Source organism: Homo sapiens, chromosome 4, assembly GCF_000001405.40.
Source record: "Homo sapiens chromosome 4, GRCh38.p14 Primary Assembly".
NCBI lineage: Eukaryota > Metazoa > Chordata > Mammalia > Primates > Hominidae > Homo > Homo sapiens.
The window spans coordinates 145,946,356-145,959,778 of NC_000004.12; the positions used below are offsets into that span (position 1 = coordinate 145,946,356).

General features: G+C 41.4%; 2 annotated features.

Annotated features, from left to right (window-relative positions):
* Window positions 8,304–9,503: an enhancer, noted in NCBI's record as "P300/CBP strongly-dependent group 1 enhancer chr4:146875811-146877010 (GRCh37/hg19 assembly coordinates)". NCBI's record gives its function as "activates an origin of replication core promoter dependent on BRD2, BRD4, P300/CBP, MED14 and CDK7 cofactors, with strong dependence on P300/CBP, by STARR-seq in HCT116 cells {active_cell/tissue: HCT116}" and the evidence as "EXISTENCE:reporter gene assay evidence [ECO:0000049][PMID:35650434]".
* Window positions 10,108–10,187: a silencer, noted in NCBI's record as "silent region_15738". NCBI's record gives its function as "represses an Ori minimal core promoter by ATAC-STARR-seq in GM12878 lymphoblastoid cells {active_cell/tissue: GM12878}" and the evidence as "EXISTENCE:reporter gene assay evidence [ECO:0000049][PMID:35858748]".

Below are 13,423 nucleotides of genomic sequence, written 5' to 3' on the forward strand. Positions count from 1 at the left end.
GCATAATGTAAGTGTTCAGCAGTATTTGTGTTTGAGTGTCAACACAGTTCTATCTAGGAAAAAAAAAGGAACATACTATATCAGCAAGGACTATTTAATTCATCTTCACATCAGCTCTGTGAACCATATTTTCTTCACTTTAAGGCTGGGGAAACTGAGGCATAACCCAGGCAAGAAATTGCTCAAGGCCACATAATTAGACCACTTGCACTTGAGGGCTATAGACAGCCTAATTACAGCCACAGCGCTCTCCCTACATCAATCAGGCAGAAGCCTGAGGAACAGATGGGCCATGCATCATGTCCTAAATGCCAAGAGACTGTTTTTTGTCTAATAGGGAAGGAGTAGACCCAGATGCCCCAGTGCTCTCCCCAGGAAATGTTGGTTCCAGTTTCCTGAAAACCAAGTATAAGCTCCCATGTATATATCAATTGTTACATTATTAAAGAGAACAAAGTAATCTCTAAGAGTAACCAGAGCCTAAACATGCAGAAATGGACATTGAATTTCCCGTGTGCTAGTGAAGTAGCATTGTGCTGGTTTCGCCACATTTGCCTCCTTTGCTTGTTGTCCCTTCTCTACCCTGTTATCTTTGCCCCAGGAACTGACCGCTAGTGACTGCAGCACCCAAGCTCCCTGGCTGGCTTGATATACAGCTGGATTCAGGCAACAGGAGGTAATTGTAAGAGAGAAGAGTGGGATGGCAGAAGGGTGGGAATATTTCTTCTCTTCTCCCTCTCTGCTTTGATGCTTTGTCTCTGGCTGTAATTCTGTCCTTCCATGATTACAGCCTCTAGCACAGTGCAGACTTCACTGGACTTGGAATACACTGTTTCCTCTCCTCATCCGTTCAGCCCTAGCGCTGGTAACTGCCTTCCACAGATGGTGATTCCTGGATGCCTCTCAGCCCTCATTAGTTCCCTTACCCCACCACTATGTAAGGAGTTCCCACCACTATGTAAGGAGTTCTTCATTAAAGCCTCTTCATTTGAATCATGAGGGATGAGTTCTGTTCTCTGCCTGAACCCAGACTGATACAATGTACTTTCATTTGTTCACTAAATATCTAATGAACACCTACTATGGGCCAGGCACTGGCCAAAACCACTGGGAATACCACAGTGAGCAAATAGAGATATTACCCCTGACCCTGTGGAGTTTACTGAACTCCGTGGCTTATTTTACTTAACTCTTCTTTGTTATTTCCCATAAAATTGGGATGATTTTTTTTTAAAGTACAGAAATTCTCCAGGCTAGTCAGGAATTCTGAGAACAGAGAATGAGGCTATGTGAGAGGTAATTTAGGCTTCAGACAAATTCGAAGTACATCATTAGTAGATGATTATGGCAGGGGGCAGGGCAGGGAAGGGGTGCAGAGAAGGAGTAATGATCAGGTAGAGTCAGTCTCCCAAAGGAAAGCCTTGGTGCCACAGGATCTAGGACCATCTCAGGTCCATGCTCTGAACAAATTTAAGGTGACGTAAGCAAAACTGATGAGTGGGCAACACTGATCTCCAAGACCCCTTCCTTGATGTTTCCTCGATCCTTTCTCCTGTCTCCACTTCTGGAATGTTTGATGCCATTTGCTCTCTCAGCAGTACCGGTCCTTTTAGCAACCAGAAATACCACTGTGTTGTCCCACTTAAACCTCTCCTGATAGATGGTCCCATAATCTTTCTTTATTCAAAATATAACTGTTCTTTTTTTTTCCTTTCCATTTCCCGAGGCTTCCTCATGCTTTTTTTCTACCAAAATGATAGCTAACAGGATAACGAGAGTTCATTTTTTTCTATTTTCCAAGTTTTTAACAGTGAAACATATATTATTACTATAATTTAAAACTTTTTTGAACCGCAACAAAAGTAAGTTAGCTACTCAATGCCAATGTCTTCAGTGATACAAATAGCATATCCTCTTTTACCAACAGGGATACCTTTGAAATACCCAGAAAGTAAAAGATGTCATAGAATAAATATGGCCATCTTTCTGGAATGCTCCTTTTGCTGATACGTTTGTTGAAAGTTAAGCAATTTAACTTTGAAATAATTTAAAATGTACTTTTATTAAGATATGTATGGAGATACCATGTACTCTGGTTTTTCTCATTAAAGATGAGGACAATGACAATATTGTACTTCCCTTACATGAGGTTGCTGTGGGGTCTAACTGAATCTAAGCACTGTAGCTGGTATATGCTGCTGCTCCTGACGGCATGGGATATGCCATGAGGTCCAAACTCTGCATGAACTTTAAGTCAAAATGCAAGGTTTCAAAGAAATTTTGCCCAGAACCTTCTTCAGGCTCTATCCCCAGATTCCCAGGGGAAACATTTTCATTTGCTTTGGCTGCTAGAGGAAAAATCTGAATATATTACCTCTGCTTTCTGGATTCCCCATGCTTTATCCCACAGCAGTAACTTTCACAGCAGGAATTTTAGGCATTGTGGCATTCATTCAGTTATAAATTTCAGTTATAAAACATTTATTGAGGTTTTCGTGATTTGATTTTTTAAACCCACCTGTTCTCCTTCTCCTTCTCCTTCCCCTATTGTTGTTCCTGAAACAAAATAAATGACCCAGAATTATCTGGCATTCATCTGACATAAATCATAACCCACACTGGATTACTTTCAACTCTACATTATAGTCCTATGGAAAACTATAGTTCTGAATGAGGACTACTTCTTCCCTTTCAACACTTCTTTATCACTGTCCAAAAAAACCAGATAGGCAAGGAAAACTAAAAATTGAAAGAAAGAAGGAAAGAGAAAGAAGAAAAAAGAAAGCTGGAATAATAGTATCAAAAACTAAATTTACTTTATAAACTAGCACTTTCTCTGAATTCAGAAAATGATTTTTATACCAAACGAAACAAAACAAGCCCACATACACAAATTTTGATAATGTTTAACCCAATCTTGGGTTCAAGTCTTACCCTTGAAAGAACTAAAGTCACAAAACAGGTCTTGTTGTCTTGATGTGCTTTGAATGAATGGTTTTAATCACACACTATTTTAAGTACCTGTGTCATCCTGTTACTGATTTGGATGACTGCTTTCAGTCCACCACAAAATATACTCAAAACTTATTAAAAACAACAAACAATAATATTTCTGTACTCAGAGTAATGGCTAATGTTATCATACAACCTAGGCTTTGAGTATACTGTGTGAGAAAATATCCACGGCCCTTGCTCTTATGGAACAAATATCATAATGGCAAGTGATGACCATTTTTGTAAAAGGCTCTAAGGGTAACGACTTAGACTTTACTGGTTACTTTTGTTTAAAAATTAACAAAACAAAGTAATTAAATATATGAATATTGGAAAAATGATTAATGTGGTAATATTCTCCTGTTTCAGATGCTTTGGTCAAAGGGCTTGTATCTTATGGAAAGCTCCTAAGGTACATAAGTCACCGACATCTACCACTTGTTTATAATTGGGTAGCTTGTTTAAATGCACAGCCGGGCTGGGGCAGCAGGTCACACACTGTTGAGCAGGACAGTGAGGAGGGAACCTCCTGTTTCTCATTCCAGGGATTGTAAGCCCATTGTTGCTGTGTTTTCCCATCTTATAGGAGAAGCGGGATATCTAAATTTTATCGAGAAATCTCCAAGTTTTGGGACATATATACTCAACAAAATGTATCTGCAGGTCAGATCTGTTGATCATCAGTTTGTGATGATCATGTGTTATACACATGTAACTCCCAACCAACCATTGCAATTCATGCGTTATCTTATATGCATCAGACCAGAAAATAGACAAAATAATAAGGTCCTCAAATACCACTGTGTCACATATTCACAGACTCTCAATTTTGGAACTAGACTTGCATTTATCTAGACTAACTTCTGATATGATCATACTTAGTAATGAGGCAGACTCTAATTGGACAGATCGTATTGTGAGATCATTGTTTCTTAAGAGTCAGTCAAAATCTAGCATTTCCCTTTATACCCGTTAGATGGCCACTATCTGAAAAATTAAGAGCATGAAATAACAAGTGTTGCTGAAGATGTGGAAAAGTCGGAATCCTTGTGCATTGCTGCTGTGAATATAAAATGGTACAGCCACCGTGGCTTCTTAAAAAATTACATATAGAATGGCCATGTAATCCAGCAATTCTACTTCAGAGTATATATCCAAAAGAGTTGAAAGTAGGGATTCAAACATATTTGTTTATCTATGTTCATAGCAGCATTATTCACAGTATCTAAAAGGTGGAAACAAACCAAATGCCCACTGACTGACAGATACATGAGCAAACAGAATGTGGTGTATACATAACTGCAATATTATTCAGCCTTAAAAGGAGGGAAATCTTGTCCCATGCTATGACATGGGTTAGCTTTGAAGACATTATGCTAAGTGAAAGAAGCCAGACATGAAAGGACAAATACCGTATGATTCTACTCATATGAGATACTTAGAGTAGTCAAATTCATAAAGATGGAAAGTAGAATGGTGGTTGCCAGGGGCTGGGAAAGGGGGTAAATTGAGAGTTATTGTTTAATGGGTATGGAGCTTCCATTCGGGGAGATGAAAAAGTTCTGGAGATAGTTGGTGTACCTCAGTGTGAATGTACTTAATGCCATTGAGCTGTACACCTAAAATGTTTTAAATAGAAAATTATTATGTTTATTTTACCATAGTTAAAAAAATGAAATAAGGCAATCTAGCATTTTCACTCTCTACTCTCTGTGCTTTATTTTGCCCTCTGAAGCCACAGAGCATAGGTTTGCTCTTTTACATGACTATCCTCCAAATACTGGCAGAGAGCAGCCCTCGCACTCCTCCATTCTCCTTTCCTGCATCCTTGCTGTTCTCCTCTGAAGCTGCCCTTTCACCGTGCCCTGCACCCGGACCAGATGCAGTGGACAGGTGAAGGAGTGCAGGATGATCACCTCCTTCACTCTAAGTACCAGGCTGCTGGGGGGCTTTCTCCAATTTCACAACTCAGGTATTTTAGGCTGCATCTCATTTTCTCAGGGACCCTCAGGGATTGGGGTTCTAGCATCATTTGTATGGCTCACTTATTTGCAAATGATAATGTCGAAGAAAATAATCAAACAAAAAGAGATGCCCAGGACTGTTATTCCATGATAAGACATGTTCAAAGCAGAACTATCAGCAACACTTTCATTTCTTTCTGAATTCTGGAACTGCAACATGGGTGAATTTGAGTTTCCACTGAAAATTAACCTGTAGTTGAAAAGGGTCCTAAAGGGGGCTTCTTGGTTTATCCACAGGCTTTTCCATCTGGAAGCTGTATCTGTCAGAAATCAGATGAGGCTCAAAAAGTAGAGACGCTAAAACAATTTTTTTTCTTTACATCTTTCCATCACTTTCTCTGATAACATTTACAAAAGTAAATGTAGTTTTACAAGTTTATATTTTGGGACAGTAGGCATTTAATAGAGCTCTTCTTACCCCCAGGTATCATTAAAACTGATTGTCCTCCTTCCTGTAAAGTCCTCCCTAACCCTAAAATTCAGAAGCCCTTTTATATGATTTTAAATTTGGTATTTGACCATACAGGAGGATGCAATAAAAAGTGACTTCCTAAAGAAGCTCTGACAAAATCTGTGAGCCCTTTTGACCTCACAGACTTTAAGGCATCCCAACTTATTTCCTTCTAAGAAGAGAGGCAGAAAAAAGGCTTCCTTGCTCAAACAACCAGCTTTGCAAAGGACCTTGAGAGGTCTGGGGGATGCTGGGAGTTCCTAGCTTGCTGGCACAGGCTCCAGTTCCACTAGGTCATGTTAAATATGAGTATGCACAATAGAAAATGAGAGATGACCTCAATTGTCTCAACAGGATGTAGGAAAGCCAAGGGATGATGCAGCAAGCGGCTCAGGCCTTTACTATTAAGAGCTTTAAATATTGCTGGTATTAGTAAATGAGAAGCTACAAGCAGTGTCATAAACGTTATGAGTTCACAACACAGCTTGACAAATCCTGAAATATTGGTTGTGGCTGAGAGATTCCTGATTATGCTGGGTATGGACACAAGGTAGGCGAGCCAGCAAAAAAGGTTATTTGTCTCTAAGCCGAAGTCCATCCATGGGCAGAAGCATTATTACTTATTATTATTAACCATCCTGACAACAACCCACATTTTTATGGCATTTGAATATCGCAAAATGCCTCAACATCATTCTAAGTCGCTATTCTATTCCACAGTGGAGCAGGGTAGAAGGTCAGAAGGAAAACATCAAGCTTAGATGCAACAGAAGCTGATCTCAAGATTCAGGTGGAGTTGGTAACCTACAAGAAGTTATTCATTTAAATTGCAGAAAAATTAAAAAGTCATTAGAAGCCCCTTGCTTAAAGTGGTCAGGAATATTCAATGTTCCAATTGAGGACTCTAGCAACATCAAAAATTCTGCGTACTCAGGTTTTTTCTTTGCCCCTCTTCTCCCCCTTTAGCTGCCTACCTCCCAAATCTAGCTTTCCAGACCTGATGTTCCACCTGCCTGTATCCCTGCCTGCACATCTGAGCTCACTTCCTGCCACCATCCCTCCACCCTGACTCCTCTGGTCACATAGCCTTGCTCTTCTCCTAACAAGCCCAGAGCTGCATTGTGACTTTCTTGGGCCTATTCCTCCAGTATAAAAGAAAAAAAAATCAAAATTATATTCTACCACTGCATGGGTATAAAGATGAACATACACATATTATGTACTAAAACATTTTTTGGACCTGAAAGTTCATTTTTTCTTCTGATGTGGAAAGAATTAAAGCATTTCTGTGTGCCCCTAAAAGTATTATAGGCCCTGTGTCTACAGCGCCCGATGGAGAAGTTGGATCTTTCAGGACTTTTGCAGTTGCGCTTCTCTCTGCCTGAAATGTTCCTTCCCTAGCTATCCATGTGACATACAGCCTCAGTTAATTTGTGTTTCTGCAAAAATGACATTCTTTTCAGAGAGGCTTTCTCTCATCACCTTACCTGAGACAGGCCCACACGTCAACTCTAGCCAAGCGTCTCCATCCCTCTACCATGCTCTAATCCATCTACCATGCTCTAGTTTTCTTTTAAGCATCTGATATCAATTAGATATTTATGTTTTACTTGTTTGTGGCCTGTCTGTCCCACTAGAGCATAAGTTCTGTGACACTAAGGTACTCTGTTCTCAGGTCCCAGAAAGTACCAGGCATATGGTAGATATACTCATAAATGTATGTTCCAAGTGGAATGAATTTCTGCCTGGGATACTTCTTCTGTATTCCAAAGTAGTCATCTCTCAATATATAAGGAGAATGAAAAGTGAGCATGAGGGAAGATGGAAAATGCTCTCTTGCTCAAACGTCCAACCTTACGGAAGATCTTTGGAGGGCTGGAGACATGCCAGGAGCCCCAGTCCTTCCAACCAGGACCCCTGCTCTGTGCTCTGCATCACTTTTTGCATTCTCCTGTCCTGGTGAACACCACCTGTTCTGCAATTATGTGTATTTGCTGGGGCTGAGGCTCAGGCTGAGGCTGCCCATCCCTCATGCCTTCTAAGAGCATGTACTGAGCACTCTGTAAATCACTGCTGGATTGAAAAAGGATGAATGGGAAGAAGAGAAAGATACAGAAGATGCTGTCAACATGTGAAGAACTTATGCTTCACCATTGGATTGAACAGAATGAACGAGGATGGCTTCAACCAGGGGACATTTGTTAGAGACTCTAAGAGGAGGATCATTTTAACATGCAAAGGAGAGAGCATGTAAATATAGCCAGCATCTAGAAAACAGAGTTCTGGGATGATACTTGGAGTGCCAGGTATGACCGTTCTGGTTGCAAAATCCTGCCTTAAGATAAAAAGAGGATTAATGGCTCTTTGAAAAGCCCAGGAATTGGCTTGCTTCAGTCCTTCCTGTATTCAGAGCTCTAACAGCATATTCAGGACCTGGTTACTCTCTCTTTCTCAGAAACTCCTCCTGCTGGGGTGGCTTTCATCACAGACTCTATATTGTAGCAAATGAAGGCACAGCTCTAACCTCTTTGCCCTCTCAAATTCAGCACAGGAAGAAAGAAAGTCTCTTTCCTAGAAGTATCTGCTCGAACTCACTGCTCCTTATGGGCTCTGACTTGGCCGTTTACCTACCTTGGACCCAGTTGCAGTACCCAGGAAAGTGTGATCATGCACTGACCATTCTAGGCCTGGATGGAGTGATGCCTTTGAGCCACAGGGACCAAGAATGAGTGACAGGTGCTCCCCTGACTGCAGTTACAGGAAGTAGGGTGTATGTACACTGAGTGACCAAAAAAACAAATGTCCACTCCTCTTGGCTCTAGAAAGAAAGTGTAATGGATTGGTTTGGCATAAAAGGCCTGGACATGAACTAAGAGGTTGCAGAGAAGTATGCTAAGTATTAGATTGTCTAGGGACAATGCAAAAAGATTGTTAGCAATGTGGAGGAAAATTAGAGACTCTTTTCCTCACAATTCTCATGTTCTGTTAGGCAAGCAAGACAGAGAAGTTCATTTTATCGAAACATTTTTTTTAAGAGAAGATGCTGGATATTAATTTTGTTTTTAACCCAACTTTGGCCTGAGCAATGGGTGTGAGTATGGAGTGAATCACCTTCGTTCATGAAAGGAGGGAATCTGTGCCCAGGGGATGTTGCTGTATAGGAGGAGTAAGTCGTTTTACTGCAGCTGCTTCTGACCAGGTTATCTTAAGCAAGTCATTTCAGTGACTCAGAGAAGTTGGGTAGATGCCAGATGACTTTCTGTCTGGGCTTAAGGTGTTAGTTAGGCAAGAGAGCTTGCCAGATGTCTTATTTTATTTAGAGATAAAGAGGAGACCGAATGCTCTCAAGCCTCCCTGGTGACCACGGCCCACTCAGAAGAGCAAAATTGCCTTCCTCCGGGCCTATGGTGTTGGGATCAGAGGAGAGAGAAAGTTCCTGTCAATGACGTGTTCTGAAAGTCCATCGAATCTTGCTCACCTCTCTGCCTGCTCTAGGGAAGAATGCCATTTAGACCAGATCAAACTGACGAAGGTACCTATGTTGTTTTCTTCACCACTGTGAATGGATTGTTCCCATTGAGTAACAACTTCCGTTAAGCCATAATTGGAGTATTTTGCCTCTTCAGAGAAAAAAGAAAACAAGAAAATATTTAATTCAGATTAACAACCACCCTATTTCATCACCATCCCCTTTTTCCCTAATGAAAGAATCTGTGTACTTTCCATTTCAAACTTAAAATATTGTAAAGGCAGCAAAAATTAAAATTTAGTAACTGTGCCCCTCTTAGAGCATGGGGGGTGCCATGTTGGCAGCTGTCCTTTCTGCTACCTAGCTTGCAGAGTATGAGAGCAGTGTGTATGTGAAATACTTTGCAATCCTTTTGGCTTGAGGTGTGTAACAGCAAAAAAATTACCTTTTGACATGACGCTACATTAGTTTGGTTTTCTTTTGGTCAATAAAAATGTCACATAATGTCTTACCTCTTATGACTTCTTTCCGAGAACGAGAAAGAGAGAGAGAGAGAGCATGCAGTTTTACATAAATTGGCCAGATTTATGTACTAAATAGTGATTTCCTCCTTCTTGGGGGCAAGGAGATGGTGTTTCAAATTTTACATATGGATTTATAGTCTGATATCATTACTTGAACTTTTTTTTTATTAAGCTCTGTGAGTCTTCTCTGATATAAACTTTCCTTGTCTTTCACTTTCCTCCCCGTTCCCCAAACTTTAGTGCCCGCTCTCAAGATCAACCTAAAGGAAGCTAAGCAAATGAAGTGATGATTCCACACTCAGAAGCAACGAATTAGATGAAAACCTTGACACCAACCTGGATAATTAAACAAACATCTACTTATTCCTCCCCTCATGAATGAATAAATGCAAGAATGAGAGACATTCAATCCTACTTGCTAATATTCATCTTCCTCCATTCTATGTTCCCCTCACACGGCCCTAAATTTGCTCTCCTAGCAAATCTCTATTCCCACGTTTGTCTGGAAGATTTCAGTACCATCTTTTACCCAGCTGCATCTTTCTATCACCTGCCCTTTCCCATGGTGAATCTATCTTTTTTACATTTTCAATTTGGTCTCTTATTTTATCAATTTGACTAAAACCTGGATTTCTGTCATGAGAGTCCCTTACCAACCTTGTCCAGCAGAGGTCACTCTTCTTGCTCATGGGCTGAGGTGAGGGGGTTGCCTCCCTGAACTCTGCTAATTCCAGGCTATCCTTCTACTACTTCTCTTCTGAAGTCCAGCATCCACTCATGGCAGCCTCTCTCCATCTCTTCCACCCTCACTCCATATCTTGCCGAGCACACGTCCATCTTCCTCAGTGACTTCAGTGTCTGTGTCTCATACACTAACATCCATTGGTATTCAGGTATTCACATCAATTACACTACAACCCTTCAGTTTCTTGATGTTTTAGGCTCTAGGGACAATAATCTCCACTCTATTTTACTGGGCCACTGGTGTGGCCTCAACCTTTTTTTTTTTTTTTTTTTTTGACAGGGTCTCACTCTGTCACACAGGCTGGAGTGCAGTGGTGCAATCATGGCTCACTGCAGCCTCGACCTCCCAGGCTCAAGCGATCCTCCCACCTCAGCCTCCTGAGAAACTAGAATTACAGGCATTCACCACCACACCCAGCTAATTTTTGCATTTTTTTTTTTTAGAGATAGGGTTTTGCCATGTTGCTCAGTCTGGTCTTCAACTCCTGGGCTCAAGCAATCCACCTGCCTTGGCCTCCCAAAGTGCTGGGATTACAGGCATGAGCCACCCTGCCAGGTCTTTGTTGTCATTTTGTAATGCTTCTTTCTAAGCCTTCATGGTAACTAGCACCAAACATGGCTCCTAAAAATGTTTCATTCTTGGAACACTCATGCTGGCTGCCTTACACATCAAGAACTGTAATTTATTTCCCTTCCTCTGAAATCTAGGCTGGCCTTGTGACTGAGTGTGGTGGAAGTGACTTCTGGGACTTCTGAGCCCAGGCCTTAACAGAATTGGCAGCTTCTGCTTCCTTCTTTTGGGAATTCAGAGGCCATTTGTGTTACCTGATTACCCTGGGCCTCCATGCTGTGAGGAAGCTCAAGCTAGCCATGTAAGAGGCTACGTAGAGACACAGATGCCTGGCCAGCCCCCAGCTGTTCCAGCCATATCAGCTGAGGATTCAGACATGTGAATGAAGAAACATCTTGGACATTTCCCAACCCAAATGCAGAAGTGACAGAAATAATAAATTTTACAGTTTTAAGCCACTTAGTGTGAGGTGATTTGTTATAAAGAGATAATGAACTCAATCTTAAATTGTGAAATTTCTTTCTAATCAACATTATGATTTTCCAGCCCTCTTCTTCCTTCCTTCCTTCTTTCCTTCCTTCCTTCCCCTCTCTTTCTCTTTCTTTCTCTTTCTCTCTTTCTTTCTTTCTCTCTCTCTTTCTCTCTTTCTTTCTCTCTCTCTCTCTCTTTCTTTCTGTCTCTCTTTCTCTCCCTCTGGCTCTCTTTCTCTCCCTGTCTTCCTCCCTCCCTCCCTTCCTTCCTTCCTTCCTTCCTTCCTTCCTTCCTTCCTTCTTCTTTCTTTCTTTTCTTCTTTTTTTTTGGTAGAGACAGGGTCTCATTATCTTGCCCAGACTGGTCTCAAATTCCTGGCCTGAAGCAATCCTCCCATCTCACCTTTCCAACGTGTTGGGATAACAAGGATGAGCCACTGTGCCCAACTGCTGTCCGGTAATTTCATCCCTACTGACCATCCAAGCCTCCAGTCTTTAGAGGGATCTTTATTTTTTAATTTATTTTTTTGACTAGTCAAGCACAGCAGTAAGAAGGGGGAAAAGAGTAAAACAAGGAGTTTCATCCATAACTGACTGTGAACAATCAATTGAGATAACTCTCAACCTTTGGACCAGCCCAGAGAGAACTTTAGAGGCTACAGCTCATCAACCTGCTACCCTATGAAACCTGGACCCCTCAAACATGTTCATGCTTCATATACCCCCTCTCTACACAAAATGCCCTTCCTTAAACTCTATGATATTACTGTGGTTCTGACTTATCTCTCCTTTCCCTTCACCTATACATTTCTCTCTTTTTTTGAGATGGAGTCTTGCTCTGTCGCTCAGGCTGGAGTACAATGGTATGATCTCAGCTCACTGCAACCCCCGCCTCCCAGGTTCAAGTGATCCTCCTGCCTCAGCCTCCCAAGTAGCTGGATTACAGGTGCTCACTACAATGCGTGGTTACTTTTTGTATTTTTTTTTTTTTTAGTAGTGACGGGGTTTCACCATGTTAGCCAGCCTGGTCTTGAACTCCTGACCTCACCTGTATATTTCTTGAGAATGTCTGTTTCCTGCCTTTATTTCCTCATTACCCTCTCCCTTTTGGTTTCAATCACTCAAAAGCATGTATTGAGCATTGATTACATACACCATTTAAGGAAACAGCAATGAATAACATAAAGAGTACCTCTGCCCAGCCCTCATGAAGATTACATCCTGAGGAGAGAGTCAGAGACAGAAAATAACAACAACAAATAAAATGTATAGTGTCAGGTGGGAATTCATGTTTTGAAGAAAAAGCAGAGTAAAGACAGTGAGGTAAGGAGGCTGCCTCCCTCATCTCTGATCTTTGTCTCTTCTGCTCAGTGTGATCACTATGCTTTGCTGGTGTTTCTTTCCCCAATCCAAGGTTCGGTAAATGCCTCCAGGCAGAACACTGGGTCTATCACTGGGCTAACCTTTCTTGTTTAAATTCTTTCAGTGCTGACAGTTGCCACTTGTGCAGTGTCTAATGATGATTCACATACTTTGTCCAGTTTTCTAGTTGTTTATGGTGGGAGGGCTAGTCTGATACCAGTTTTTCATTTGTGATCAAAAGTGGAATCCTCTGGCTTAAGGGTTTGAGGGTAGCTCTGGCTGTGGTTTCACTCCCTGCTAATTTCTGCCCTTGATATTCTACTTGAATTGCTCTCTCCTCACTTCTAGGCTTCAAATCCATTGGACTCATCTTAGTCCTTGCCCTTCCAGATTTTCCTTAGCCTCTCCTTCCTGAAAGTCTCTCTTCCTTTGACTGTTATAATACACAGGGTTTTTGTTTTTGTTGTTGTTGGTGGTGGTGGTGGTGGTGGTGGGTGGATGGGAGGTATTTTGTTTGTTTGTTTAAAATCACACTTCACTTTGTGTTGTGCACATTTGGACATATGCACCATCTTCCCCACTGGAATTCAAGCACCTTGAGAGCAGGGACATGGATTGTTCATTTTGCATCCCCATGCCCAGCATAGCACCCTTGACTTTAGTAGGGACTGTACAAATGTTTATTGAGTGAATTTGAAGCCCAGTAATAAAAGGCAGTGTATGGGATTCACCCTTGGAGAGGTATAGACAGCTGCAGCTCTGCACTTTCCTAAGGTGATCAACCATTCCTGTATGTTCAGGACTGAGGATGCTG